Consider the following 12926-nt stretch of genomic DNA (forward strand, 5'->3'; position numbering starts at 1 on the left):
CAAAACAAACAAACAAAAAAACACAGGACAAGTGACAAGTGAGCAGCTGGTAAATCAATAAAGACTAATGTGAAAAGTGATGTTTACATAAATAGCAGCCTAATTAATCCCTTGAAATACGAATGTAAATACTTCAAGATGTTTACAACCTTGGATGTGTCAAGTCCCAGGTATTTCAAGGGCTTCCAGCATCTTTTTCATGTTTTACCCCCAACATCTTTTAAAGCAGGAAATAAGAGAATCATTTTCTTTCTCAAGGTGAGATTTAAAACTGCGCTTAGGTCTTGCTTAGAATTGGAATACGTGTTCTTCTTGACCCAGCACAACAACTATAACTCTCCAAAAATAACAAGTTGTTTTCTGGCAGCTCCTAGAACAAAACTCAATCACATCAGAAAGTCTCTGAAGAAAAGGCTTCAGAAGGCATTCTTGGAAATAAGCAGAAATGTACTTGATAATAAGAAAAGGAATGGAACTGGCTTAACGACATACAACGTGTGTGTGCATATGTGTATTCCCCTTCTTCTTACACCACACCTTCTTTTAAAATTCTCAGATTCATTACACATTAATTGCCAATCTTCTATTTGTGATGAGAATAAAGTTTGTGTGCTTTGATGTAAAAGTTTGATACTTGAACCCTAAAATTATTTAAAGAATAACATCAGCTTCAGCAGACAGATATCTTGGCACTGTCATAATTTTAAGTTCTGTGTTTGCAACTGAAAAATTCAGAAACTGACCCATTTTGAGGTGGGAGGATAGGGTTTGCATCAAAGAAAGGTAATTATCTGCCCTCTCTCAAGTTCAGGGAGCATGCTAGACCCTACCAGAAGCATAGGTAGATAGTCAGAGAGGGAACTTGACTTCACCAAGCATTTTTGTGTTCTTATTGGTACAACTGTGCATTTCCCAGACTTTCTTAGATTTGCGACAACCACGTGACTAGTTCTCGTCAATGGGGTGTGGGCGGGAGTCAGGAAGGTCACCTCCGGGCCTGGCCCATAAGTTCCCTCAAAATCGTTCATGTTGTCTCTTCTCTCATCTGCCTGCAGAATACAAAAGATTAAATGGAAGGCTCTGGAGCCCTGAGGAATAGCAGTTACTAGACTGAAGGAACCTGAGTTTCTAGATTGCGATGTTGAGCAGAGTCCCTGCTAACCCAGGAAAACTCTGATGTGAGAAAGAAGAAAACCCGGATTGCACTAACTCACCGAGATTTCGAAGTTTAGTTGTTCGGCGATGAACTTGTCCTGAACAACATAGAGGAACAGTGGGAAATACATGGAGTGTGCTTATAAGAAGCTATGGTAGGCAGGATTTCAAGATGTCCTTGTGATCTCTGCCTCCTTGTGTTTCTCCCATGACTATGTCATGTTCCACAGCAAAAGGGATTTTGCAATGTATTAAGGGTACTGAACGGTTGACCTTAAGATCGTGGGATTATCTGGGTGGGCCTAATTTCATCACATGAGTCCTGTAAAAGAAGTGAATTTTCTCTATTTGGTAGCAGAAGAGGCAGTCAGAGACATCTGAAGTGTGAGAGGGATTCAGTGCTGAAATGGAGAAGGTCACATGGTAAGAACCTGAGAGTGGCTTCTGGTAGCTGAGAGTGATCCTTGGCAAGATAATGGAACCTTAGTCCTAGAGCCTCAAGGAAATTAATTCTGCTGACAATCTGAGGGAACTTTGAAGCAGATCTTTTCCTAGTTGAGCCTCCAAGTAAGGATTTAGCTAGCTAGCTGGTACTTTAATTTGAGCCTTATGAGTCTCTGAGCAGAGGACCCAGGGAAATAAAGTCAGGCTCCTAATGCATGGTGATGATGACGTGATAAGTGTGTTTTGTTAAGCTACTAAGTTTGTGGTAATTTTTAATGTAGCAATAAAAAACTAATGCAGAGAGTGAAAAGTGCTGTGTCTAAGATATGTGGCAAAATCAGGGTTAGTCCATGCTGGTGTCACCATCCAAGGAATTGGATCTGGTGAGCAGAATGTGGCAGCAGGAGGCAGTGTGATGGTGACAGTCACAAGGAGATGGGTTCTGGGGCTGCAGTTTGAGGGTTGAAGCAGCTGCTGTGGATTTAAGGATCTGAGAACTCAGGCACAGAAGAGGAGGTCTGGCAAAATCTGGGCAGATTTTGCCCAAGAAATGGCCTGGGGTCAGAGATTGAGTCTAAATCTCAGTGTCAAGAACTGAAGTTCACTTAATTCTTTTTTTTAAAGAAACTTCTCGTTTAATAAACTAGGCTGCTGATTTTGAGATATTTACTTATGATTTTTTCATGGTTCTTCAGAATTATCTCAGAGGGGTCTGAGAGGCTGAGCAGACATAGCCTTAGTGACCCATTTCTGTTTTAGCCAGGGCAGCCCTGCATGTAGGTATTTATATTTAGGGTTCCATATGACACTGCTCTTGGAAAAAGACCTTCATTACTAAGACTGTTAGAAAATGCCTAATTTAGGGAAAAGCCAAGTATCTTTGGGAAAATGTGGGGGCTTCTCCTACATAAGGAAGCAAGGCTAACTCTAGACCCCACAAGAGAGGGCTTGGTTCTCATTGGTTCAGGTTCTGGCTGGAATGAGACTGAAGGATAAAATACCCTAGGCAAGGCTGGGCAATCAAGGACTGGACAAGATCTTGCTTGGCTTTAAAGGATCCCCTACACAATCCTCAGAGATGGAAGCACAATAGATAAGGATATGTAAAAATATTATGTACAATACACATTATACATATATATATACACATATATGTATATGTATAAAACATGGATTTCCTGACCTGCTCATCTAATCTGGCTCATTTTGTGTCAATTCCAGTGTCTTCATTTCTAATAAATATTTATTAAATACCTGTGTGTGCCAGGCCTTGAACTTAGACCTGGGGATCCAGAAGTAAGAACAAGAAGGGAGAGAGAGGGAAACAAGACAATACATGATCACATCAGGTTCAGACAAGAAAACAAGTTTGACTTTCTGATTGTGGCAATTCCATGGGAAAGGAGCAATGCGATCTCCAGTTTGACACAGGGCTGCTATGCAGGAACAGCACCCTGGAGTGACCAAAAATAAAGGCAGCAAGCACCTGGAAGCCCAGGCCTCTGTCTTTTAACTCAGTTAATGAGATCTTTGGCATAACCATGTATACACATGAAATTTTCTCCTCCTCAGTCTCTAATTGTACCAATTTAGTTGCCATTAAGATTATTAGCATAATTCTACTTTAATTACTGACAACTGTACCTGGTGCAATGAGTGAACCTCCTGGGCAACTTCCTGAAAAGCACAGTTGCTCCATCACTGCTGGGTAATGGTGATCATAAGCTTTGCCAAGCAGAGAGACAAAGCGACACTCTGCCGACGCAGCCTCACTTGCAGTCTTCACCTCCCAGCAGCACCATCATGCTATTGACCCCATCATTTTCTTGGGCTAGTTTACAGAAGCGAAGACAAAGGGAGAGAAATCCACCCGTTGAATCAGCCACTGTCTGAACCAAGGCAACAATTCCCATTGATCTGACTCACTGCCTGGAAGAAGATGGTGGTCATCTCATCCCATTAACTGTTTCTGCAGTTTCAGGGGACAGTGTATTCTGCTTTATTGCTTCAAGTGATAAAATGGGTAGAATTTGTTACTATGCAGTGACAAGTAGCCATGAACTTAAGCAAAACCAAACGGATGGTAGGTTAAATCATATTTGAAAAGCATATTCAAGTATAATTTTCTCTTTTCGGAGGCAAAAGACCCAGGTCTTAATGGAGGAAGAGCTATTTTTAGCTTATCATGTGTCCAGGTGTTCAATGATTTGAAATCTTATATCAGGCTTTGTTTCTGAATTAGTCTACTTCCCCCTGATTACAGTGTTTTAGTTATTTATTGCGGCATAACAAACCACCTCAAAACTTAGTACCTTAACACAATAATTTGATATTATCTCTTAGCTCTTGCTTGGAGGTCTCCCATGTGGTCACCTTCAGTTGTCAGGTATGGCTGGAGCCATCTGAAGGCTTGACTGGGCCAGATGTCCAGATGGTTTCTACATTCACAGGTCTGGTACTCGGGTGAGTATAACTGAACAATTGAGCTTAGCTGAAACTGTTGACTTGAGTGTCTACACATGCCCTTCTCAGCTTGTGGTCTCAGTGTGCTCAGGCTTCTCACGCAGCAACTCAAGGCTCCAGGCAGGAGTTGCCAAGTCTCTTTTAATCAAATGTCAGAAGTCAGGTAGTGTTATTCCCTGCACATTCTATTAAGTGAGTCACAGAACTAGCCCTGGTTCAGGAGGAGAGAACTGCAAAAGGGCATGAACGTGGGAGACATGATTCATTGAAAGGAGACACCTTTGCAAAGTAGCTATCATATTAGCATCTTTAGCATTTTATATGAACTCAGGTAAAAACCTGAGGGATTGTAACATCCCCAAACCTTATTGCGAGTAAGCTGATTATGAGGGTCATTTAGTATAAAGTGCCCATGCTAGCTGAAACCTCTCTTAATGAAACTGACTAAACTTTGTCTGTCAAGCTTATGAACTTTACTATTTCTGGTTGAGCCCCTACCTTCTAGGAAAGTAGACAATTTATTCTGAATTGGAAAAATTTTATCTGTATTTTACTTGAGCAACTTTTTCAACAATAAAATCCCGATGATAATTTTTAAAAATAAAGAGCCAAGAGAATCACAATTTCCTATGGCTACACTAGTGACTTCAGATTTGACTTTGCCAGTTTGTCAAACTACAAATGTTAAGGAGGGCCTCGTGTATGGTAAGCAGCCCCTCTGTGAGGTGCTTGGGAGGAAGAAAGGACACTTAAACATGGTTCCCGTCCTGGATGAGCAGGCAAGTCCTGAACCCAAAACTTAGGAGTAAGGATTTCTCTGGCAGCCTAAAATTTAGTTGAAAAAGCAAAACATTGCATATACAGAAGAATAGAGTAAAAATTGCTACATAGTGGAGTACATGTAGATTTTATGGCTTTCCAATTATTTTTCAACTTTCAGTTTTATATGGGAAATAAGCTTATTGGATTTTTTTTCTAGTTGTTGCTGTTTCTGTCTCTCAAGATAACTTTTAGGATAAAGCATTTGTCCTTGACATCTTCATTTATAATCCGGTTGAGTTCTGGTGTGTAGCCAAGTTTATATGTAAAATTGATACCTAGAAGAAAAATAACTATTTAATGTCAGAATGACTTGTTCTAGGCTGATGGTTGTTGACAGAACACAAAACATTCTCTGCCTACAATTTGGACAATGCCCAGAATTATTAGGCAATAACTGAATCAAAAAGAGAATTAAGCTCCTCCATGTGATGAGTACTGTTAGCTCCTTGGGTCACAAAAATAAGTAAGAATCAGTTCCCGCCCTCAAGAGAGTCAGCATGGAGAAAAACACAGGTAACACTACTAAAGTTCATGATATAAAGAGATATAAACAAAGTGCTGGAGGGAAGAATGACTTAACTAGAAGGGTCACTGATGACCTCAGAGCATAGTAACATTTAAGCAGTTTCTTAAAGGCTCAGTAGGATATTGTCAGGCAATAAAAGAAGATTATGCCAGGCAGAGTAGATAGCATGTTTAGGAAAGGGATGATAAAAGGACCCAGAACATGTAAAGAATAGTTAGAATCATGGGAGCTACAGTGTGAGGTGCATTTAGAACTGATGATAGAGGAGGCCAGAGAATAGGCAGGAGTCAGATGGGATATATGGTGTGTTTGCTTGATAAAAGTAGGGTTTGGGTAGTTATGAATTGACTAGAACATAGAGGCCTGAAGAGTTAGAATAAGTCCAGCTGCCAGAAAATATAACTTAGGCCAAAATTCTTCAACTGATCTCATATTGTTCCACATCTGACAGATCAGTCTAGGAGAACAAAGGACAAGCAGGATGCAAGCACCTCTAGACAAAGGCTGAAAATGAGCACAAGATCAGGGTAAAAAACAGAAGCTCAAGAGGCAGGAAAATAAATCTGTCAGCTGCCTGCAGTCACATGGGACTAGACCTTAAGAGGGGGAATTGGCTGGGCGTGGTGGCTCACGCCTGTTAATTCCAGCACTTTGGGAGACTGAGGCAGGTGAATCACCTGAGGTCAAGAGTTCGAGACCAGTCTGGCCAACGTGGTGAAACGCCGTCTCTACTAAAAATGCAAAAATTAGCTGGGCATGGTGGTGGGCACCTGTAATCCCAGCTACTCCGGAGACTGAGGTAGAGAATTGCTTGAACCCGGGAGGCGGAGATTGCAATGAGCGGAGATCGTGCCACTGCACTGTACCCTGGGCGACAGAGCGAGACTCTGTCTCAAAAAAAAAAAAAAAAGAAGAGGGGGAATTATGTCCCTCTAAGAGGGTGGGGCTACTTGGCAGGGACTTGATCAGCCAGGAACAATCCAAGAGTCTAGGACCTAGGCATCTGATTTGGTTTGGCTCTGTGTCCCCACCCACATCTTATCTTGAAATGTAATCCCCACCTGTCAAGGGAGAGACCTGGTAGGAGGTGATTGGATCATGGGAGCAATTTCTCCCATGCTGTTCTTGTGATAGTGAGGGATTTCTCATGAGATCTGATGGTTTTTAAAGTGTGGCACTTCCCTGTTTGCTGACTCTCTCTCTTGCCATCTGCCACGTAAGATGTGCCTTGCTTCCCCTTCACCTTCTGCCAGGATTGTACATTTCCTGAGGCCTCCCCAGCCATGTGGAACTGTGAGTCAATTAGATTTCCTTTATTTGTAAATTACCCAATCTCAGGCAGTACCTTTATAGCAGCATGAGAATGGACTGATACAGCATTCAAGAGCCAATCAAGTTGATTATGTGGTGATCCAGTGAGCCCTGATTTAAAGCTCATTCATAATCCCTACATTGAAAGACTGGCTCTGAGCTATGTTCAAAGGCTAAATCTAACAAGAAAAATTAAAAACCCCAACCTTCAATGGCTAGAAGTATAAAAAGACCTATAATAAAGCCTAGTTTTTCATAGGCAGCTATGGTTCTCCAAGGAAGTAGAGCCAATAGGATGTGTGTATATATAGAAATTTTGTTTTAAAGAATTAGCTTATACTATTAAGAAATTCAAAATCTTCAGGTAGGCTGCCAGGCTGGAGACCAGGGAACTGACCAACATCACAGTTCAAGTACAAAAACTGTCTGCTGGCAGAATTCCTTCTTACTTGGGAGAGATCTGTCTTTTGTTCTATTCAGGCCATAAGTTGATTGGACAAGGCCCATCCACATTAGCCAGGCAATTTTGTTTACTTAAAGTCCACAAACATAAATGTTAATCTCACCCAAACACATGCTTGTGGAAACATCCAGAATAGTGTTTGACCTAATATCTGGGGACTATGGTCCAGTCAAGTTGACAAGTAAAAGTAACCAATCATGACAGGTGGAGGCTGATGGATGTAAGTAAATACTAGAGAGTTAATATTTTATAAATAAAATTTACACATGGGTAATAAAAACAGAATTTTAAAAATTTAAATTTATTTGCTGGACTGTTCATTCATCCTAAAGTCATATTTAGTAGAATATGAATTTACGTCTGTGTGTATGTGGTGTGTGTGTGTGTGTGTGTGTGCATGTGCATGTGCATAGGGGTGTGTGTGTGAGAGGGAGAGAGAGTAAATATTTTTGTGTGGTGTTCATAAAACTATCCTGGAGATTTATCTCTTTACTTAATTGTATCTGTTGAACCAAGATGATCAAAGTGTGGTCAGTTGATTTATTTTAGCTATCTTTAATGAGTAGTGCTAGATTTTTCTTCTGGTTGACTTGTTCAGCAATATACTAGCGAGAGTGTCAGTGCTATGTCAGCCAGTCTCATTGTGTGAAGGCATAGGCTAGAATTACACTAAGTATAATCCATGGATCAGTAGCTCAAATCACTTATAGACCTAATCACTTCAGCTAAATCACTTGTAAGTTCATAAGAAAACAGAATCTTATGTCCCTCCTGACCTGTGAATTAGAACCTGCACTTCAACAAAGCCACAGGTAATTCATATCTATGCTGAAATTTGAAAAACGTAGGTTCAGAATAGCAGCCATTAAGTATATTGCTCATGTGACTGGCTCTCCAAAGCATCTTCTTTACTCACAGGAAATGAGAGAAAATACTGTGTTGCAACACCGTTTAAAAAATCAATGTAGAGCCCTACCAACCTGAGGCCTCTATTAACAAATCCATCCCATGATGGAGGGGAGAGATCTTGAATCTGAATTACTCTAGTATTTACATCATGTAATTCACCATTTTGCTATAAACTGTATTCTGTTCTTTAACTGCTTTATATAGATATTTTGAAACCTTTGATTTACACGTTATATGCTAGTTCAAGCTGTTCTGTTGCTCTGATCTAGCCTACAATAAAGGTCTCAATGTTTTTAACCTGGTGTACAAGGCCTTGCATAACTTATGCTGCCTTCAGATTTTCTACCATATCTTTTTTTACTATGCTTTTAAAGGTTCTTTCATTATTGTTCATCCTACACAAACACCCTGCTACCCTCTGCCCCACACCACTTACCCTTCTGTAGTCCACCTATCCTACACTTTTCCAGACATTCTTTCTCACTTCTCACTCTAACTACTGTCTATTCTTATTGTGTCTGTTACAGTTTCTCTGACACTCAGGTAAAACTCCCTTTATTTTTATTTATTTTATTTTATTTTTTTTGAGACTGAGTCTCGCTCTGTTGCCTAGGCTGGAGTGATGGCATAATCTCGGCTCACTGCAACCTCTGCCTACCAGGTTCAAGCAATTCTCCTGACTCAGCTTCTGGAGTATCTGGGACTACAGGCGCATGCCACCACGCCTGGCTAATTTTTGTATTTTTAGTAGAGACACGGTTTCACCATGTTGGTCAGGCTGATCTCGAACTCCTGACCTTGTGATCCACCCACCTCAGCCTCCCAAAGTGCTGGGATTACAGGCATAAGCCACCGCACCCAGCCTCTTTATTTTTATTTGTCCTTTGATGAACAGATGCTATCTCCTCCTATGGAATTTAAGACCTGTGAAAACAAGGGCCGAGTCTCACATTTCTCCATTCCCATCGCCTAGTACTCTGCCCACAACAGGGGCTTAATTACCGTTTGTTTATAGTGTAGTATGGCTGTGAAGAATAGATGATTGCTTCTCCAGATACAGGCATATTATAAGGAGACCCTGAATAAAATGTAATTGTTTTAGTGGAAAAACTTTGCATGGCATAAACATTATCCAACTCATTGCCAATGACCAACTAAACAAACTCTTCCTATTAAAATAAAAAACGTCATTCTGTATTTTCTGTTACACTTTAATTCACTTCTCATTTTTATTTTGTTGAAAGGAAAGACACATGTAGTTTAAAGACATACAGTAAAATATAAAACTCTTCTTTATAAAGTTTCCCCTCAAATATATACTTTACATTTTTCATTTGATGACTTCTAATTTCCCTTTTCCTTTTCAGTTCAATATCTCTGAGTATTTTACTTCTCAATGACACAAAACATTCACTTTCTATGAAGATCAAATTATTACATGTTTTTCTAATGGGACAAAGCGTAAAGTTTTCAAGATATGATTTTGTGATAGTTTCTTAAGGGGAAATGCTCTCTATCTAAACAGACTTAATAAAAGAAATCCTGAGATCACTTACAGACACAATACCTTTAATTTCAATGACCAAAACCAGATTATATGATATATTGGAATTCCAGAACACCCTCTAAAAATGTGAATTCCATTGTAATTATAAAATACTTGGAGATCACCACATGAACTGCAAACATATTCTTTTGCTTTCTCCTGTGCCAGTAGATTTAAGAAATTCATAAGGAATCTCTTCAAGGACATAATATCCTAACATTAATTTATTGAGCACACCATATTGAAACCAAATGCTGGTGTAGTGCATGCCTTTAAACATGACCTTAAAATAACCTTGCCTGAAAATGTTCTGGGCTGTACGTGTAATGTTGTCTTGACTACGCCGCCAGCTTCCTATCTCTGAGCCTTGATTCCCTTGCCCCTCTTTTACCAGAATTCACTCTGAATCTAAAAACAGAGGAATGCAAGTCTGATCATGCCCTTCCCTTAGGATACTGTCCACCTTTAGCAGAGTTACTAGAAACTAGACCATTTAATGTCTATCTTTTTTCAGTCCTTTAACTAGATCTCTCACCATTTCCTCTGTTATAATCAATGATCAGCCATAGTATGAGGAACATGTTGCTATTTTGTGGACATATCATGTCGTCTTTTTTCTCCATGCCTTGGCAAAGTCCATTCTCAAACACTCCGATTCTCTCTTTACCCAATCTTTATCAAACTCGATGGTTCTCAATCCTGACATTATCACTCCAGGTGCTCAAAAACAACGAAACAAAACAGAAACAGATGCCTGGGTCCCACCCTCACCAATTAAATGTTATTTCCTGGGCTCAAAGTTTATTGAAATATTCCCAGATCAGCTCATGTATAATCAGGGTTAAGAACTCCTGAAGCTAAGTTTTTATTTTCCTTTAGAACTTCTCCTGTCTGTCTTTTTTTCCAGATTGTTTTCCTGGTTCCCCAAGGCCGGGTTGGGTGCTATTTATTTATGTATTATATTACTTCATTTATTTTATTTTTATTTTATTTTATTTTTGAGACGGAGTCTCGCTCTGTTGCCCAGGCTGGAGTGCAGTGGTGCCATCTCGGCTCACTTCAAGCTTCACCTCCCGGGTTCACACCATTCTCCTGCCTCAGTCTCCCGATTAGCTGGGACTATAGATGCCCATGACCACACCCAGCTAATTTTTTTGTATTTTTAGTAGAGACGGAGTTTCACCGTATTAGCCAGGATGGTCTCGATCTCCTGATCTCATGATCCGCCTGCCTCGGTCTCCCAAAGTGTTAGGATTACAGGTGTGAGCCACCGTGCCAGGCCTTATTTTAATTTTTTATGGTTCTCTTAATTTTATCGTTCAAAAAATATCTGTTGATGACAACTATGTGCAGACACAGCGCTAAGTGCTTGGGTAATTGTGATGAAAAAAATTTATCTGTTTTCATGAAGCTTAGTGTTTAGTGAGGTGGTAAAAATAATCAACTATTCACACAAATTGTACATTGTGACAAGGGCTGGGAAGCAAAAAGACAGGATGCTCTGCAGGAGCAGGTGGATGGAAGGTTAAGGAAGGCATCTCTGATATTTATATTGATACATAAAGAATGAATGGGTATTACTACAGCCAGTCAGAGAGCAGTGGACAGGGAGAACATTCTAGACCTAAGAAAGAGTATGTATACAAAAGGGTTCTGGAATGGTGCACTAGAGGAACTAAATCAGAAGCCTGAAGCATAGGTATTGGAAGAGAAATGGTATGAGATGGGGCTCTAAAGAAGGCAAATTCACATGGGACTTCTATTTTATCTTAAGTGCAATGTAAACGAGTACAAGATATTTTAAGGAAAAGAGAGAAATAAATTAACAGATAAATTAAAAATAAAAAATTAATATTAATGCACAAAAACACATAAAAATAGTTCTGACTTTATTGAAACTGGATTAGAGTGCTGAGATAATGCCTAGCACAATGCAAGTGCTTAATAAAGACTACCCATTATTATTACTGTGATTAGTCATTAATTTATTCACCAACAAGGACATTACCTTTGATGCTGAGAATGCATTGTCTGGGGAGGAGAGAACATGAGAAGATAGGTAAATAGGCAATTACTATTCAGAATAATAATTCCTCAGCAGATAGGAGGAATACCCAGTTAGAGGATTATGGCAGTAATCTCAGAAAAAGATACTGCTGACTCCTTGGTCAAGCAGTGTCTTGACCTTGGTGGGCCAAGGATTCAGTAGTATAAATGGAAAGAAGTGGAAATATTTGAGGTATATTTTTGTAGAAAGACTAAGCAGAGCTTAGGATGGATCATGTGTTTGGGCTAAAGAGGAAGGAGTGGTCGTGGGGGGCTCTGAGGTTTCTTCTGGGTAAAGACCTGGGTGAGTAGAGATATGTTTCCTGAGAAATAGAGTACAGAAGGAATAAATGCATTGAATAACTAAACACAAGAATGCATTGTTGAACGTTTCACATCCGAGTTGCATATGGAAAATTCACTTGGACATTTCAAGTAGGTAGTTGTCTGTCTTAGAGCTGTCTGCATGTACTTTATTAGAAACTACAATGGACACTTCGTAGGTGCCAATTGAATGGAAATTGTTATAAAGTGCTGCTTTCTGAAATGCTCTTCTTTATAAGATTATTATTGGGGTTATTATTATTAGCCCCTGAAATCTTGACAAAGAGTTATTTGCAGGGCATATATTGCATTTTCTATTTTCCAGTCCTTCCTCCCTTCTGAGGTTTTCTTTGATCCCCCAGGTAGTGCCCTGCCTCTTCTAAATGACTGCAATGACTGCATAAAGAACATGGCTTCTATCTTTATTTGCTTGGTTTTTACTTACGTATTTTTTCCACCATGTAGCATTCAGCAGAAGAGAATACTTTTTTGTTTATAAATGTATTGTTTATAAGTATTTATTGTTTATAAATTTTGTTACTAAAAATTCTAATAATTTTATGATGGTAAATAATTGATACTTTAGACTCAATTTTTGAGATTTAAACTAGGAAAAGTAAATCCATGTTGGGGTTATTTTTCACATATCTTTTCCCTCATCAGAAAAAATACAAGCAAGTTCACACAATTTTAACCCATCTGCTTGGTCAGTAGACAGTACTTGAAGAAAGCTTCTGTCGCAGGTAGCGGCTATCTGGGGCCAGTGGTGTCAGTGGTAAGTAGGATTTACTAAGACAGTTATAGGTAAAGAAAGGCAGGTTTATTAGGAAAAGTATGAAAATACATTACAAGGGTGCAATGGGCCAATCAGCAAGAGAAGAGCTGACTGCACGGAGACAAAGGCTTGCTGGGGATTT

Source organism: Homo sapiens, chromosome 5, assembly GCF_000001405.40.
Source record: "Homo sapiens chromosome 5, GRCh38.p14 Primary Assembly".
Classification (NCBI taxonomy): Eukaryota; Metazoa; Chordata; class Mammalia; order Primates; family Hominidae; genus Homo; species Homo sapiens.